Below are 18,298 nucleotides of genomic sequence, written 5' to 3'. Positions count from 1 at the left end.
AAAAAAAAATTGTCTTAATATAAAATGTATTCTAGTGATGATTTCTGATCTTGAATTACCTGCTTATTTTTTACTTTCTGATAGGACTTGGGGTTTGGTGGTTTATGACTGCTCTCACATGGCTGGTGGGAGGGTGGCCTGCCGCAGCCTGGCTGGGGGGCAACCTGGCATACTTGGTCCACCATATGCTTCTCTCCATTTCCACTGTCCTCACCTTGGCTCCAAGCCCTGCTCCCTCTCCCCGCCCCCTCAGCCAGCCTCCTGCTCTGTCTACATTAACTCTGCACAACTCCTCACTCCAGCATCATTCTCCACACTCCAGCTAGAGGGATCTTTTCAAAATCCCTCCTTCTGGTCCCTGGCTTTCCATTTCTCTCAGGACAAAATCCTCTTTGTAGCCTGCAGGTGTGGCCCTTGCCACCCAGTCAGCCTCTTACCGGGTCCCAGCTCCAGCTCCAGTCTTTCTGCCCTGGGGCCCCATGGCTGCTCCTCAGGCCCTTGCCAGCTCTCCTCCCCACACCAAGACCAATTCCTTCTTCATCTTCAGAGTTCAGCTCAAATGTCGCTTCCCTGATCCCTAGACTAGACCAATTCTCTAGCCATCCTCTCATAGCTCTTAAGTCAGCCACAATCAAATAATCAATCCTACAATGCTCTATTTAAGGCCCTCTCCCGCTAGACTGCCCGGAGAGTGGCTGCTGCTGTTTTGCTCTGTCTTTCCTGCACCCAGCACAGTACTTGGAATAAGGTAGGAGCTGAAATCATGGAGTGATGTTGTTGAACATCAACGACCCCTTTATCACAGAACATTTTAAATCAAGGACAGCCAAAGTTCAACACAGTCCTAAAACCACTGGAGAGCAAGTGCAGACACTGCATCCAGAGGAAGGTGGCCTGGCTCCCGCCCACTCCACACACAGGCCTGTGGCTGTGCGGCTCATCTCACCAGAGCAAAACAGCACGGGGCTCTTGTGACTCAGAGGAAGGGAGAAGGGAGAGGCCTTTGTGAGAGATAAAAGCACTGTGTCTTGATACATGATAAAGTACAACCAAAAATATAAACATTTTATTTTGGATGAAATGTGGACACTTTTAAGAGTGCTTGTTAACCAGGCGCAGTGAGTCACGCCTATAATCCTAGCACTTTGGGAGGCCGAGGCAGGCGGATTGCCTGAGCTGAGGAGTTCGAAACCAGCCTGGGCAACACGGTGAAAACCTGTCTCTACTAAAATACAAAAAATTAGCCAGGTGTGGCAGCGTGCACCTGTAGTCTCAGCTATGCAGCAGGCTGAGGCAGGAGAATTGCTTGAACCCAGGAGGCGGAGGTTGCAGTGAGCCGAGATCGTGCCACTGCACTCCAGCCTGGGTGACAGAACAAGACTCTGCCTCCAAAAAAAAAAAAAAGAGTGCTTCCTTAAAACAAAATAAATCAAATCAGCAAAGAAAATAACTCTTTAAAAGGACAGACTCCACACCAGCTCAGAGCCCTTCTCACTTTGCCTCCATGTGTTTCCAGAGCACTGTTGCGTCAAATCATATCTTAAGTCCTGTATTTAAAATATGCACAATTATATCAAGAATAAGGAAGACTTTAGTGAATCTTTTTGCATAGCATATAACCATGCCCGAATGTATCACTGGCGTGAAGGCTGATGTTCCTCAGGATTCTTATTCTACACATCTTCCCTGGGGGACTACATCAAATTCTATGGCTTTCACCACTACCTCTGCTGATCCTACTTCTATAACCCTCAGCATTTTCCGAGACATCTCAAATTTCCCCATGTGCCAGAGAATGAACCCTCCCAACTCAGCTTCTTCCTCATCTCATGAATGGCCTCCGCACCCACCCCTGCCCACCTCACAGCTAGAAACCTGAGGGTGTCGCTGACTCCTCTGCAGGAGGCTGTACCCAGGAAGCCCCTACTCAACAGGACAGGCAGACTCCCAGGTGCTGCGGTGCACATAGCAGGTGCGGGGTGCAGCGACCCATTCAAGGCTTAGAACCCACTGGCAAGCTGAAGTGTCGCCTTCTGAGTGTTAGTTGTTTGCGGGTGCCCATGTGGCTGGGAGTGTGAGAGGCAGCAAGCCACAGCCCTGTGTTCCTCCCACATTGGCAGGTACTAAGGATGCTGAACTTCAGGAATCTTTGAGATAAGAGGTCATGGGAGCCTTGTCCAGCCACTGTCAGGCATGTCTCATTTATATCCTTCCACTACTCATTGGGTGTTTCAGGAGTAACCCTGATGGGAGACCATGTTATATAACATCCCCTATCCTTGAACTTGGGTCAGTCTCTTGTGTTTAGCCCAGTTCTTCTGCTTTCTCATGCCTATAGATTTTAGTAATAATAAAAATAGTAAACAGACATTGAATTTTATGCTGACCCAGGCACTGTCCTAAACCCTGTTTATGCCTTATCCTACTGTTCACAACGCCCTGTGTATTGTGGATATGTTTAATGTTACTCTTCCAGACTTTGGGATCAAGTTCCAAGTCATCTCAAAAAAGTGAGGCTTTCCATGCCCTTGCACCCACCTCCCCAGACACCTTTTCTCCAGCTTCACTGTCCCCTGGAATTCCAACCCCTACATCCCACTCCCACACCTTTGTCTAACACTGGCTCCTCAAAGAGTTAGTTTAGGCCTCACCCACTCTAGAAAGCCTCCCGCAGGCTGCGATCTGCCACACTGATCAGCTACACTACAAAACTGTTTCCAAGATAGAAGCAGGTTTCTGGAAAGGCCGGGCTGGACATCATATTTCTTTATATCTCCCCAAGGCCTGGCATAGTAGGTGATTAACAGCGAATGAGTGAATAGACAGACTTGTGTGTGTGCGTTGTGTAAACCAAAATTAGTGCCTCAGCTTACAACAGAACTCGTTTGAAGACTGACGATGAGCCCTCAGCAAACTGCTCTGTGTGCAGTGCTCTCGGGAATTCTCTCTCCTTCCCCAGCAACATCTGTACATGTACAAGCTTAAATATTCCCTACATAAATAACCACCAAGGAATCCTTTCCTTCCCTTCTCCAGTTTCCCAGCATTTTTTAAGAATCTATAATAGGAATGGATGCTATCTGGTCTATTTAAAATAAAATAATGCTGTTTGTTTATTGAATTGCTACGCTAAGATGCAAAGGAAACTGGTGTTTCCAGAGTCCAACCTTAATCAATGCTATGTGAAATAACTTCAGCTCTATACAACAGCAAGTTCCCTTTCCTCTCTAGGAAATATTTCTTTTACTGATTTATCATTTTGCTCTCTTAAAAAAAAGATGGCAAACAATAAGAACTTCTTCTAAACAGTTTAAATTGCAATGACATAGATATGTATATTCTAAAATATGCATTGAAATCAATTCAACAGTTTTAAAGGCTAAACATTAACATTTCTGAAGTTTAAAAGTATGCTTGCCTATAAAAACTGCAAACGAAAGAAAGAGCATAGCATTGGAAGACTTCTTCAGTGTTGGTGATTCATCCTGTTGCAGACTGAAGTTCCACCTCACGCCTGTGCTTGTGGGTCCCCTCTGCCTGTACCGGGTGTCCCCCACCTAGATCTGGGATGGCTGCTTCCTTCCTGTCCTGCTGGTCTCATCTTTGAGATCGCCTCGTGCCAAGCAAGCACCTTCCTACACCACCACTGTCTTTCTTCATTCATCAGCCCCTGAAAGCATAATTATTACTTGTTGTGCGTTTGTTGCCAGCATCCCCCATTGGGCTATGGGTGGCAGGAGGGCAAGTCCTCGTCAGTCCTGCTCGCTGATGTGGCCCCAGGACAGGGCGTGGAGCAGGCACTGAGGAGTTGGGGATGAAGGAATTCCCTCCAGCTCCCTGCACACTCCTGTTCTTTTCTCCTTTAGCTGCTCTCACAAAGTCACTCCAGTCAGAACGCAACCATTTCCCTTTCTCAGTCTCCCTCTTTGTGAGTAGGTGTCAAACTAGCAAGCAGAATGGCACAATCAGAACAAAATTTGAGATCTTTCTTCTAAGCCATCACCAATTTTATTCAGGTATAAATGCTACAGCCACCATTTGCATGCCATGTTATCCTAAGAGTGTGATTCCTGGATATGAGGATGTTTAAGGGAGCTTCTACTATACTAAGATTCAGTTTCTGTGTTCCAGATTAATCCAAAAGAGGGATGTAAAGTTCACGTGGTCTTCAGCACAGAGCGCTACAACCCAGAGGTAAGCTGCCACAATTGGCAAAGTATCCTATTAGCAACTGCTATAAATATGGCTTTGTAAAAAAGTGAGAATCTTAATATATAGTGATCTGGAGGTTTGCTTTTGTTTTTTCCTGATCTGTTTCCTATTTGTTATCAAGAACTAAAGAACAGAACTAGGCAAGAGCTCAATATTTAACTACTTCAACTTCATGGTCTTAACGCAGGGTTGCATTTAAAACAATCCATATAAGCGATCACCTCCCTCTTCCTTGGGACCCCTGGGAGAGAATTTCACAGCTCCCTCTGGTATCCCTCCTAGCTCCTCAGAGTCCTCAGAATGACTCACTTTCAAATGCCAACTTACTCTCTTCCTGTCAGAGGGTGACATTTCTGGTTAGCAGGCCAGCACAGCGTGAGACCAACCCCATGAGCTAACGTACACAGAGGCACTCTGTAAAACACGAGCACGTGCTCCAGCCGTTATCAGCCTCACTACAGCTTTGACCAAGCGGACCATGTTTTGCCAAGTTTCCTGTTCCCTGTTTTCAAGAAGAGAGTAAAGAGAAAACTCGTATAGAAATTAGAGCCAGATGAACTTCCTTGTGCTAGGCCAAGCTGAAAGGCGGCAATCAGAGCATGGGCGGAGAGGAGACCAGCTCAAATGCTCTTTGTCTTGTGCTGAGAAGCAGCCTGGAGCAGGCAGCATCCAGGATTAAAGTGTTCCAGGGTGGCAGAGTTTCGGGAGTTGAAGGCATGACTCCCCCAACCCCATGCTTCTGGAAGAATGCTCACCAGTACTCAAGTTCCAACAAGTATCCAACATGACAGCAGTATGCTCTTTGCTTATTAACCTATGAATTAAAATTTCCTTAAAGTGTACGAAAGATGCCTTTGATTGTTAGTGTTGCAAACTGAAAGTGTTAAGCTAGAGGGAATACAATTACTAGATTATTTTCACCAACAATATGCTTCCCTGGATTTGATCCTGTAGATGCATTAAGAACAGAGTGAGCTAATTGAAACCTTCCATTTCAGGGGGTGAAGAGCAGTTCTTTTATCCTCAGGCAACGGCTTTGATTCCATGGAGATGTTTTGAGGGGGAAATGAAAAGGAAAATGAAAGGGGGCAGTACCTGGTTCTTTTTCTCTTCTCTGGAAATGACTTTGACAACAGAGGAGGCCATGTACTAGGTTCCTTCTGCCCTTTCATAAGCCTCTTCCTGAATGCTTCCTTCACCTTTTTTCTATGTTGCACCAATAATTAACATCTTAAAGCAGTACTGAAATTCCCTCTCACTCAAAACCAGCACTCACAGGAGGAAAAATTGCCTACTGGAAAGTGTTTCTCAGTTTTTTGAGGTAGTTTTAGAAATAGGCTTATTAAGCAGATCCAATTTTTTTATTTTTAATTTTTATTTATTTATTCTTTTTGAGGCAGGGTCTTGCTCTCCTGGCTGGAGGGAAGTGCGATGATCATGGCTCACTGCAACCTTGACTTCCTGGGCTCAAGCGCAGAGAGAATTTTGATTACAATTTGTTTCCTCATGGACTTTTTTCATTTTTGGTAGTTGTTTTCACTGGGACTTCACCCAGTTTAAACAACCACAAAAGTAAAAAGAAGATTATCACCTCAACTATGCAACCAGCCAACGAGAGTTGGATTTGGGCAGGGCCAAGACTAGTGGCCCATGAACTTCCTCAAATTCTAGGCCCAGTGCTGATCTGTGCATTTTTCAGGGAATAAGTTCCCTGGCTTCTCTTATTTGGTTAAGGAATCTGGGGAATTCCTTAAAAGGGGGAAGAACCACTATGCTAGAAATGAGTCATACATCTGATGTCTAGTTGAAGCTCCAGATGTTTCTGGATTATAAAATAAGTGAGGGAGATCCCAGAATATCCAAAACATCTACATTTAAACATGAATGCTGGGGGTGGTGGCTCATGCCTGTAATCCCAGCACTTTGGGAAGCCAAGGCAGGCAGATCACGAGGTCAGGAGGTCGAGACCAGTCTGGCCAACATAGTGAAACCCCATCTCTACTAAAAATACACACAATTAGCCAGGCATGGTGGTGGGCACCTGTAATCCCAGCTACTCAGAGGCTGAGGCAGGAGAATCGCGTGAACCCAGGAGGCAGAGGTTGCAGTAAGCCGAGATCGTGCCATTGCACTCCCACCCAGGCAGGACTCCATCTCAAAAAAAAAAAAAAAAAAAAAGATGAATGCAAATAAACATCACTCAGGTAGTTGAATGAATCCCATGTGGATGATCAGTGGATCAGTGCCCCCATTTCTTCTGGATTAGATCTTGGCATAGAGAGATGAAGTTAGTACAGAGAGCCTGGGCTTCGGTGTTAGAAGTGAGGTCAAGCCCTGGCTTATTAGCTGTGCGACATGGAGTAGGTACCTCCTTAAACCTCAGTATCTTAATCTTTCAAACTGGAATCAGAGGACCTAATTCATAAGGCAGCATGAAGATGCTGTTGTTATTTTTGTAAATAGGAGCCAGCTCCATCTTTTAGTTCAAGTTAGTAACTTTGAGGTCCACCTAAGTATTATGTTGGTCCACATTCAAGAGTAAAGTGGCCACTACTCTAAAGGTTTGAGCCAAGCAGTGCTCAATGGATGTCAATGATATTTCTTTGGAAATATGCCCAATGTCATTTTATAAAGTCACAATCAGAAGACAAGAGTTTAAATGATAGCAAAGAGAGAAGGACTGTTGTATTCAGCTGTGAGCACAACCCACAATAAACCAAAACCCACTACATCTATTGATGCCAGAGCCTGCCTGCCTTGTACAATGAACTCTTCTCAATCTTGTGTGTGCTTGTGTGCACTGGGGTGAGTGGGAGGTGATAAAGTATCCTGTTTAACTCCACAGTCTTTACTTCAGGAAGGTGAGGGACGTTTGGGGAAATGTTCTGCTCGAGTGTTTTTCAAGAATCAGAAACCCAGACCAACCATCAATGTAACTTGTACACGGCTCATCGAGAAAAAGAAAAGACAACAAGAGGATTACCTGCTTTACAAGCAAATGAAGCAACTGAAAAACCCCTTGGAAATAGTCAGCATACCTGGTATGAATCAGCATTTGGAATTTCTATATTCAGGAATGTATGTAATAACTAAATCCTTAAAAGAAAGATCATTTAAGTTTTTATCCCTAAAGTGGCACTTTCATTCAACTAAATATTGTGGTATCCCTCATAATTTAAACAAAACTCAGAGGTATCATCTTTCTGTTCTTCATCTCTAATCCAACACAGTAACTCCACCAACAGCATGTATCCCTTTCATCTCATTTTCCAGCTGGGCGCGGTGGCTCATGCCTGTAATCCCAGCACTTTGGGAGGCCGAGGTGGGCAGATCACGAGGTCAGGAGATCAAGACCATCCTGGCTAACACGGTGAAACCCCGTCTCTACTAAAAAATAGAAAAAATTAGCCAGGCGTGGTGGTGGGCGCCTGTAGTCCCAGCTACTCAGGAGGCTGGGGAAGGAGAATGGCATGAACCTGGGAGGCGGAGGTTGCAGTGAGCTGAGACTGTGCCACTGCACTCCAGCCTGGACAACAAGAATGAAACTCCATCTCCAAAAAAAAAAAAAAAAACTCCTCATTTTCCATCCCAGAATGAGGGGCACAGTAAGAACTGAACCCCCAGGTAAGAGGTACAGGATTTTGAAATAGGATATGCATATAGGGGTGCTGTTTTCAGGGTTGAGTCCAGGAGCTGAGGTGACATCTCTATTTTTGGCAGTGGCTTTGGAAACTTTAGGCGACAGCCTCCAGAGCCACTACTCTGCTCATCACAGCCTTACACTCCAAGGCCAGATGAGCCCTCTCTGGGATGCTGCAGGGGAGTCATGTTTATCTCATTTCAAGTCAGTGGTTAATGGGCAGTGGTGCTGTCTCCAACAAAGGAGCCCTGCCCTCTGAAGTGACTCAGCTGAAGGGAAGCAGAGCTCATGCGTTCCTGCACTCACCAGAATGTGTGGAGAGCAGTTGAGACTCAGCAAATTTACTGGCAAATCCAATTTTCAAAACCACGAAAGTCATCTCTTGGGTATTAAGCTTGATGTCTGACCGCTACAGCATTCATGGTCCCACCCTCTCCCACAGTTCACTCATTTGCCCAGATTCTGTGGCAAACCCATGTCAACACTGGAGGCTCTGTAGTCTCCATTCCTGAATGTCTCTGCTCCCCATCGATTTACTGAGACTAAATGTCCTTAAAAACCTCGAAGTGGAATACTGCTTCTTCCATTTCTAAAATTCTGAACCCTGAATGATTCTCACATGATAGTTCTCTGACAACTCAGATCAAATCCTGTGCCAAGCAATCAAGGGGAGCAATTAAAATCTCATGTTGTAGCAGAATTTGTTTATATTGAGTATTGCTTGAAATAAATGACCTGATGACTGATACTTATAAATCTACACTTATTTAGGAATTGTTTTCCTTTAGTTGGGAAAATAGGGCTTATCTGTACTCCTTAAAACACAAATTTTAGAAATTGTATTGGATCTTTTCTTTGAATATTTGCCACAGGGTCACGAGACTTTAGACACTCTTTAATAGTGCAGGCTAACTGTATGTTTAGTTAATAAGTCCTGTATATCCATAGGGACCATTCTATAATAATCTAACTTAATGTAGCTACTGTGAAACTTCAAAAAACTTCTTTAATAGAGGGCAACTTTTCATCGAAAAACTTGTAAGTTTTGCTGTCATAGTAAATTCAGCAGAGACATTTAATGGTGCTATCTATAGCTTGTCTGTGTATGTAAAATTATCTACTTAAAACCAAAAAGGTTTGGTTTTAGATAAGGTAAATTTTACCCAGTTAAAATCTCAGGGGGGCCAGGCGCGGTGGCTCATGCCTGCAATCCCAGCACTTTGGGAGGCCGAGGCGGGCGGATCACGAGGTCAGGAGATCGAGACCATCCTGGCTAACACGGTGAAACCCCATCTCTACTGAAAAATAGCCAGGCATGGTGGCATGCGCCTGTAGTCCCAGCTACTTGGGAGGCTGAGGCAAAAGAATCGCGCTTGAACCAGGGAGTCAGAGGTTGCAGTGAGCCAAGATTGCGCCACTGCACTCCAGCCTGGGCAACAGAGCGAAACTCCGTCTCAAAAAAAAAAAATCTCAGCAGATTCCTATTCAGTATTTAATGGATCCAAGGCATTGGACTGTTGTAGTACAATGGGTAAGTGAGAAGATCTAATCCATTTTGGAATATCCTTGCTCCACATTGTTTTTTCCCCTTAAGTTGTCTGTTTTTTATGAGTGAAAGTTTCACTTCTAATGAATTTACAAACTTCCTAGCAATGAATCCAAGTACACTACATACAGAGGGAAAGATTGAAGACCTGGGAATAACCAGCTAAAGTTGTGTCTGCCCAAGTGGTTCTATAGCACTGTTGCCAGCACTTACCCTTTCAAATGTTCTTACTATTCATGGTATTTAGTATAACTGGTTTATCTTCTAGGGTGATGGGTTTTGATCTCACAAATCTGAACTCACAGCAGCACCATAAGATAGAACACGTGATGATGAGCTGGATCAAGGAAGTTTTCAGTCAATGAAGACAGGAATGATGGGAAACCTCTTAAAAGCAAAATAAGCAAAAAAGTTTATATCCAAGATATTGAATTCAGAGTCTTGTATTACATAATGTTCTGAAGTTCTTATGGTTCAGCTGCTCATAGCAATGAGGAAAAAAAAATTCATTCGTGAAATGCTGATATTCTTGTCAGGAAGTAGAAGTCCGAAACATACTTTCTACAATAACATCTGTAAAAATAGTCACAGCTCCCTATTGATTACTTATCATATGATGACAGGAAAAAATGACATTACCAGGTTAAAGAAATTACACAGAAAAGCCAGTGAAGAGTACTGGAAATCCTCAGTTCCAAATATGAAGGCACTTCGATATTAACAGGAAAGCATTATGGAACCAAAAAACTTATACATGTCACATAAGGGTGATATGATGACAATGAAGGGCAACAAATACCTTTTGCTTTATTCTCAACAGGTATTTTCTTCTAAAAGATTTCTCCAAGTGCTGAGTCTTCAATGCTGCTATTTATTTCTAACATCTTACTGCACTCCACATGACAGCTGTGTTGAAGCTTTTCCATTTTTTCAAGGCCCACATCCCAGCCTCATGCACTTTCAGGAGACGGTCTTGCCTCCTGCTTTACTGAGACTGAGACATTTGATTCTGTCATTTCTTCCCACCTCACAAAGTCGCTACATCTTCCCCAACCCTCTCTTTAATTCTAAGACTCCTTTTATACCCTTGGTTCTAGTTTATCTGGTTCTTTCATAATTTTGCCCCATCAGTATCCTTCCCACCTTGAGAATCTCCGTCAACCAGTTCCTTCTCTTGTCCTATAAAGATCGTCAAGATCAGAGTTCTGTTGACCAGTTTCTTCATAGACCCATCACCCCCTCTTTTTCCTTATTCTGTCTACTTTTCAAAAGTAGATTCTATACACATTGCCTCAACCTCCAACTCTTCCTATTTGGCTTCTACTCTATGTACATAAAGGGACCACCCAGATCACCAAAAACCCTAACCAGATCTTGCTTCTTATCCTTCTTGATTTATCTGTAGTTTTTTTGTTTGTTTGTTTGTTTTTTTGAGACAGAGTCTCCCTCTGTCCAGTGTGTGGTGGTGCAATCTTGGTTCACTGCAACGTCTGTCTCCTGGGTTCAAGCGATTCTCCTGCTTCAGCCTCCAGAGTATCTGAGATTACAGGCGTGTGCCACCACACCCAGCTAATTTTTATATTTTTAATAGAGATGGGGTTTCACCATGTTGTCCAGGCTGGTCTTCAACTCCTGACCTCCGGTGATCCACCCCCCTTGGCCTCCCAAAGTGCTGGGATTACAGGCGTGAGCCACCATGCCCGGCCTATCTGCAGCACTTTACATCATCCACCTTCATGACTTTCTTGACACTGTATTTAATACACCTAATAACAAACTCAACTTGTTTTCACCCAAAACGTTCCCACTTTCTGTCCTACATTTAATGGTATTACTATTCTCCTAGAGTTGGCTAGAAACTTTGGTCATTATCAACTAATCTACTAACATTTAATAACTTGCCATTTCCTATCAAGCCTGCATTCACAAAGTATTTTGGACTAATCTTTTCATCTCCAAATCCACTGTCACCATCCTTCATGCCTGGGATTCTTCTCCCTGAGACCACCGCACCCAGCAGTCAAAGTCATCTTCCACACTTACTACTCAACTGCAGTTCATACCCACTCTGGCAGCGCTGGAAACAAGGCCTTTCAAAATCTGCTGCCAGTATACTGTATATTCTATCAAGAACAGTCACTGAGGCTGCCCCTGCCTGGTGCCTTCCTACCTTCACGTGCTCACTTTCTCACTCAGACCCCCACACAAATGACAGCAATTCAAGGCGCAGCCAAAATCTCATCTCTGTGAAGTTTCCCCTAACCCTCTCCAGCCCAAAGCCCAAAGAAACCTGTCCCTTCCCTGCTGTCCCTCAGCTTTCTGATCCTCCCTCTCTTAAGGAATGTATCAACTATAACCCCACCATGTCAACATGTGGAGGGTGGGGACCCATCTTGGTATCCTTCACAGATCCCAAGAAATCAATGAATGCTGTTTGAATTACCTCTGAGTATAAACTAGCCAAGTTCTACCAATACAGAATAGAATTTATGCTAAGGATTACTTTACCCAGAAGGATTAGTTTCCTAATAAGTTTGTTAGTATTCCTCATGTACTGTGCTATTATTAGGCCTTAATATAGTATCCCTACAAAACTGCATAAAATGATGGTTCATGAACAGTCACCTCATAAAATTTGAGCTCCTAAAAGTCACAAACAATAATTTATTAGTCATTGTATCCCTAACCTCTCACAGTGTCTAATATTGTTTAAGTTTTAAGAAAGATGTTTGCCAAATTTAAAAGATTTTAGGTCCGAAAACAATGCCACAGAAAAAAATCTACCTGATTTCTTCACGTGTTAAACAAGAGTGACAGAGATGCTGCCAACACATTGATTAGCTTTAAAGCCAATGATTAGAGAAGCACAAAGATATTCTGGCAGACTGGGAAGCAAAGACCACCATCACATTGACTGTAGACCTAAACCAGAAGGTAAGGTGAAGAATATCAGTGACAGACTTTTGAACCTAATTAAAAATGCTTCTTGGCCAGCACAGTGGCCTTCACCTGTAATCTCAGCACTTTGGGAGGCCATGGCAGGAGGATCACTTGAGCCCAGGAATTCAAGGCTACTGTGAAGAGTAATTGTGGCACTGCATTCTAGCCTGGGCAATAAAGCAAGACCCTGTCTCTTAAAAAAAAAAAGCTTCTTAACTAACAAGACTAAGTTAAATTGAATGTCATCTTTGAGTATTCAGTAATGAGTATGGAAAAGTCACTTTAGCTGCTAGGTGTGCGACAGTTGGAAGAAGGAGACTGAAATCTGAGAGATTTGGTAGCAGACTGTGGCTGTGGTCTCAGGGAGAAGCAGCTCAGGCCTGAAGGGTGGTGGCAGTGGGTTCGGAGAAGACAAGATGGGTCCAAGATACTTTGTGGACATAGGCTTGATACAACGTAGGCTTCATAGCTCTTACTTTGCGTGTATACAGTACAGCAAATGGCCATTGATTTATAATAGATTTACTCAGTTTGGCAAGTTGAAGAATATAAATCTACATACTAACATAGAAACAGATACAAACAAATCACATATATGGCTCAAGGTCTTGCTGTGAGAGAGATGACTGGTATGACTAAGTTTAAACCCTATTTCATTTCTGCAACTTCTGAGATTTTGTCTCAAAAATGCATTAATACAAATGTGCTTTTTTTGTCTCTCTCAGATAATCATGGACATATTGATCCCTCTCTGAGACTCATCTGGGATTTGGCTTTCCTTGGAAGCTCTTACGTGATGTGGGAAATGACAACACAGGTGTCACACTACTACTTGGCACAGCTCACTAGTGTGAGGCAGTGGGTAAGAAAAACCTGAAAATTAACTTGTGCCACAAGAGTTACAATCAAAGTGGTCTCCTTAGACTGAATTCATGCGAACTTCTAATTTCATATCAAGAGTTGTAATCACATTTATTTCAATAAATATGTGAGTTCCTGCAATGGGCCAAGTATTGTTTCAGGGGCTGGGGATACAGTCGTGAACAAAGACACAATGTTGCTGCCCTCATTGAGATTAATTCTAGTGAGAGAAGATAAAAAGAGACAGTGAGCTAATAAATAAATATGTATCATATGATGGTAAATGCTATGAAAAAAATTAAGTAGCCAAGGTGGAAGGATCACTTGAGGTCAGGAGTTTGAGACCAGCCTGGGTAGCATAGCAAGGCCCTATCTCTACAAAAAAATTAAAAATTAGCCAGATGTAGTGGCACATGCCTATAGTCCCAGGTACTCGGGACGCAGAGTTGGGAGGATTGCTTGATCCAGGAGTTGGAGGTTGTAATAAGCTATGATTGAGCTACTGTACTCCATCCTGGGCAACAGAGTGAGATGCCATCTCTGTCTCAAAAAAAAAAAAAAAAAAAAAAAAAAAAAAAAAAGTATTGCAATATTCTAGGCAAGGCCTGGTGGTGGCTTGGACCAGGGTGGTGGCAATGGGGCTGGAGAGATGTTTGGATTCTGGCAGATTGACAGTATTTGCTCATGGGTTGGATATGGATATCAGAGATGAGAGGAGTTAAGGATGATTTTTAGGATTTTGGTATGATTAACTAGAAGGACACAGTTTTCATTTACCGATTGGGGAAGCTTATAGGAGGAACAGAATTGAGGGAGAATTATCTTGATTTGGGGCATTCTAAATTCTATAACCAAACAGAGAATTTGTATAATCTTCTGGACAGAAGAGTCTGAAGTTCAGGGGAGAGGTCTCGGCTGTAGTTGTCACCATATAGTATTTAAAGCCACAAGACTGGATGAGATCACAGATAATGAGTGTAGACAAAGAAGGTAAGTTATGTAAGGACTGGATCATGGAACACTTCTGACTTAAGCAGTTAGAGATATGGGAAAAGAAAGTATTTCAAGGATGAGGACTGGCTGGTAGTACTAAATGCTGCTGGAAAGTCAAGTAAGATGAGGACTGAGAACTGCCCATTTCATTGAGCAACTGGAAGTCAATGAAGGGAGAGCTTATCAAGAGCCCTCTCACTGGCACAGTGGGGACAAAAGGCAGATTGGGGTAGGTTCAGGAAAGGATGGGAGGAGAGGAAGTGGACATTCCATCCTTTCAAGAAATTTAGCTATAATAAAGGAGAGTAAAAGGAAGGAAGAGGACTACAGCTGGATGATGGGTGAGCATAGGGCTGAAAGGGTTTTTGCATTTTTTTTGGTTGGGAGACATAACAGCATGTTTATATGTCGATGAGAAAAAGTCCAGCAGAGAGAGGCAAAGTAGGAATTGCATGAAAGAGAGGGAAAAGTTGTTAGAGTTACTATCTTTGAGTAGGCCAGAGAGGATGTGATTAATCCAGATGATATTAGAAACACGGAGAGTTCACATAGAGGGAAAGCAGGAAACAGTGGCCCCAGTGCTAGGAGGGCAGATATCAAAGTAGGAGCTTGTGGAAGCTCTATTCTAACTGCTTCTGTCTTCTCAGTGAAAAACGAGGCAAAGTAATAAGCTGAGAGCAGGATGAGAGCAAAGGTGTTGGGATTATTAGAGAGGCAAGCTGAACTAATCATAAGCACCAATTTAAAAAATTCGTTTTGTTCATAGGTTTACCCAGGGATGGATCATCAGTGAGTATCTTCTGAGTACAGGATTTACCCAGCATTAAGTCATCATTTTTAATGTCAATAATACATAGTTTGGTTTGCTTTCCAAAGACCACATGTACAACACACATCAACTAAAAACCTAGATTTTGTCTTTACTTATCAAAATGAACATGTCTTTCCCCATATAGAATGCTTTTAAATAGAAATTATCATCTAATTGATTGTTGCCATATAACAAGTCAAGATACAGTACTAGTTCTTTTGCTAGGTAAGTTTCTACCTGTTTCTGACACACTCTCATCTACCAAGATAACCACATCCTCAACAAGAGGCTTTTACTGTACCTGATTTTAAAGTTAGGGGGAAGAGGTTGTTTTAAGCGTAGAAAATGGTGTCAAGATAATATAGAACTAATTGTAGTAAATGTGAGAGGAAAACTTAATAGGAATAGAGCAACACATTGAGATAACAGAAAAAACTAGGACATTTAACATGTTCCCCTTTCTTTTGCAGTTGCATATGACACATTTTTACCACTAGGACATACTAGGGTACAAAAATAGCAGGTGTATTTCCCTCCCATTCTAACCCGTCTTTCATGTCCATCATCTGTCCACTAACATCTCTCAACCAAACTGCACGTACGAAAGCGAGGACATACAAGTAACTAGAAAGTTAAAAAGCAGAAATGCAGGCTGGGTGCAGTGGCTCATGCCTGTAATCCCAGCACTTTGGGAGGCTGAGGCAGGCGGATCATGAGGTCAGGAGATGGAGACCATACTGGCTAACACTGTGAAACCCTGTCTCTACTAAAAATACAAAAAAATTAGCCAGGCATGGTGGCATGCACCTGTAGTCCCAGCTACTCGGGAGGCTGAGGTAGGAGAATCGCTTGAACCCGGGAGGCGGAGGTTGCAGTGAGGTGAGATCGTGCTAGTGCACTCCAGCCTGGGCGACAGAGCAAGACTCTGTCTCAAAAAAACAAAACAAAACAAAACAAACAAAAACAAATGCAGAGGGAGAATGGTCATTGACTAAGAGTTTTAGATTTTTTTTTCCCCCTGCGATGTCTGGGTGTTAGATAAATAATAGTTGAATATGCAGCTGAGTCATCCAAGGCAAATCATTTCATCTCTTAGGGCCTATTAAATGAGGACTCACAAACGGATTGAAGTTAAACTAATACAAATTTAAATCCCTGGAGCAATTAGGATATTTGGTTTCAAGGCTGACACGCATTTCAGCTTAGAGTTCTTTTAAAGAAAAGTATGCACATATCCACAAAGATTTTCAAATTCTGCTATTCAGTGGCCACTAAGGTCTCCTGTGACCCTTCATCAAAAGAAGCAACACAAGCAACAAGCAATGATTTTTAAAAAGACACTATGAGCAGAAGGTCTAAATACTGTTCTGAGAGACTAGCAACAGGACACTAGGGCTGAGAAAGCCAGTATGGCACGGAGGCAGGAAGTGACTGGAGGTGCTCTTGGCCCAAGGTAGCTCAAAAAAAGTATGAAGATTATAATTTTTCCAAAAACTTTCTGGGAATTACTATCTTGATACTCAGGGCTAATTTCACCTTTTAATGCAATTGTGTAAAGAAGTACAAGCTTATAAACTCACAGCCCCAAATGAACAAGGCCTGAGGGAAGAGTGTGCAAAAAAAAAAAAGAAAGACTGAAATGCAAATATAAAGTAAGACACATCTTACTGGCACAACTCTTTCCTTAGAACTGAAGAATAGATGTCATTCCCAATACTATGAGGACAGTGCCAAGAACACGGGATATATGCTGGCTAGGGAAAAAAATGGATAAGCCCGTACCTTTAGCCTTTAATATGAATTGAGAAACGTCAAGCTGAGTATTGTTCTAACTCTTATCAATCAGTACCAGGTTTGTAAGCACCCCAAACTATCTAACCTGCAGCACATCACTATCAGTCAGCTCATCTTCACATTAAGTAGAAGTCTCCATTAGCCAAAGCTACATATAGAAACCATCCTATCTACCTTATCTATTATGCTGAAATCTACTTTTGATAACTTCTATTACTAACAAATCTAATTCTTCTCTACTAAAACCACCCTAGTTCTGTTAGAGATCCTTTGCTCCCTTTTGGGGGAAGCAGGGTGGAGGGGCATGGGGTGGGTTGGGTTATGACCAAGTAAAAGGGAACAAACAAAACACTTCCAGTCTGTCTGCAACAAGATTAAGTGCTGAGTTACCAGGAAATGTAACAACAAATCATCATCCATTTGGGCTACAAGATTTGGCACTTGTGATGATCTGAATTGAAGCCAAAAAGATAATTTCTGAATAATATTAAAAATAATGACTTCTTGGCAGAGCTTGACATGGGGAGGGCAGTCCAATCTTGGCATCCTTTGCCAGGCTGGGATGTGCAATGTCCTCTTCTGCATTTTTTTAAATAAGCTGTGCTTTTTGGTTTGGTTTAAAGGTGGTTCCTCCTAAAGGAGGAGGAATCTATAAAAACAAAAATGTAAGGGGATGTTTCGATAACTTTATTGAGGAAGTTCTCAATCAAATGATAGAGGGTTTTACCAGCATTATCACGACTCACATTTTGTATTTAAAAATGGGTAACACTCTTTGTGCTTTTACCAAAATAGTCTGTCAAATGGGGCTGGAATCCTAACATTTGTTTTAAGCTCTGCCTCTTTTTTGCCTCAATGGAGACTGCCATGATTTCCTTCAGAAATGCCATTTTCAAACGCAGAATAAGGCATTGTTCTCAAAAAAACATTTTAAGTGTATAAGTAAAACCAATTTATATATATATATATACACACACACACACACACACACTTATTATTATTTTTTAAATAAAGACGAGGTGGTCTCTATTAAAAAATAATAATATTGCCCATGCTGGTCTCGAACTCCTGGGCTCAAGTGATCCTCCCACTTTGGCCTCCCAAAGTGCTGGGATTACAGGCATGAGCCACCATGTCCAGCCTAAAACCAATTTTTAAATTATAAAAATACATGGTAAACAGTCAAGACTTGAAAAATAGTGCAGACAGCACAAAAGTCTGAGACAAATATCCAGCTGGTGTGGGACATCTTGGGATAGATAATCATGTCCTTCCAAGGTCAAGACAGCCACCAAATGAAGGTCTAACAAGGCTAAACACACCCTCAAAGCGACAATGCCAGACTGATCACTGGAACCTCCAGTAACTGTTCCCTTAAGAAAGAGACACTGAATTTTCTCTCATGAATTCTCTGACTTTCCAGCTTGTGCCTCAGATGTTTGCTTTGAACATTCGTGGGTACACTGTGAGAGACGAGGGAAACCTACTGACTATTGCCAAG

General features: G+C 42.5%; 1 protein-coding gene across 3 annotated transcripts in view, besides 3 other annotated features; it reads left to right on the top strand.

Moving 5' to 3' along the window:
- RARRES1 (retinoic acid receptor responder 1) overlaps positions 1-18,298 on the top strand; it is a 35,566-nt gene that overhangs the window by 14,467 nt on the left and 2,801 nt on the right. The window contains exons 2-4 of one of the 3 annotated variants that reach the window (XM_005247686.6): positions 4,132-4,194; positions 7,070-7,253; positions 13,064-13,200. In XM_005247686.6, coding sequence (XP_005247743.4) covers positions 4,132-4,194; positions 7,070-7,253; positions 13,064-13,200 — 384 coding nt within the window. Of the gene's footprint in view, positions 1-4,131; positions 4,195-7,057; positions 7,254-13,063; positions 13,341-18,298 lie in introns of those variants that run through there. The other 2 variants (NM_206963.2, NM_002888.4) reach the window with 2 other exon arrangements.
- Positions 1,970-2,470: an enhancer, noted in NCBI's record as "H3K4me1 hESC enhancer chr3:158433310-158433810 (GRCh37/hg19 assembly coordinates)". NCBI's record gives its function as "activates a minimal SCP1, AML or CMV promoter by ChIP-STARR-seq in naive H9 embryonic stem cells {active_cell/tissue: H9 hESC(naive)}" and the evidence as "EXISTENCE:reporter gene assay evidence [ECO:0000049][PMID:30033119]".
- Positions 3,589-4,788: an enhancer, noted in NCBI's record as "CDK7 strongly-dependent group 2 enhancer chr3:158430992-158432191 (GRCh37/hg19 assembly coordinates)". NCBI's record gives its function as "activates an origin of replication core promoter dependent on BRD2, BRD4, P300/CBP, MED14 and CDK7 cofactors, with strong dependence on CDK7, by STARR-seq in HCT116 cells {active_cell/tissue: HCT116}" and the evidence as "EXISTENCE:reporter gene assay evidence [ECO:0000049][PMID:35650434]".
- Positions 3,686-4,201: an enhancer, noted in NCBI's record as "H3K27ac-H3K4me1 hESC enhancer chr3:158431579-158432094 (GRCh37/hg19 assembly coordinates)". NCBI's record gives its function as "activates a minimal SCP1, AML or CMV promoter by ChIP-STARR-seq in naive H9 embryonic stem cells {active_cell/tissue: H9 hESC(naive)}" and the evidence as "EXISTENCE:reporter gene assay evidence [ECO:0000049][PMID:30033119]".

The sequence above is a fragment of the Homo sapiens genome, chromosome 3 (assembly GCF_000001405.40).
Source record: "Homo sapiens chromosome 3, GRCh38.p14 Primary Assembly".
Classification (NCBI taxonomy): domain Eukaryota; kingdom Metazoa; phylum Chordata; class Mammalia; order Primates; family Hominidae; genus Homo; species Homo sapiens.
This window is presented reverse-complemented; position numbering and strand designations above follow the sequence as displayed.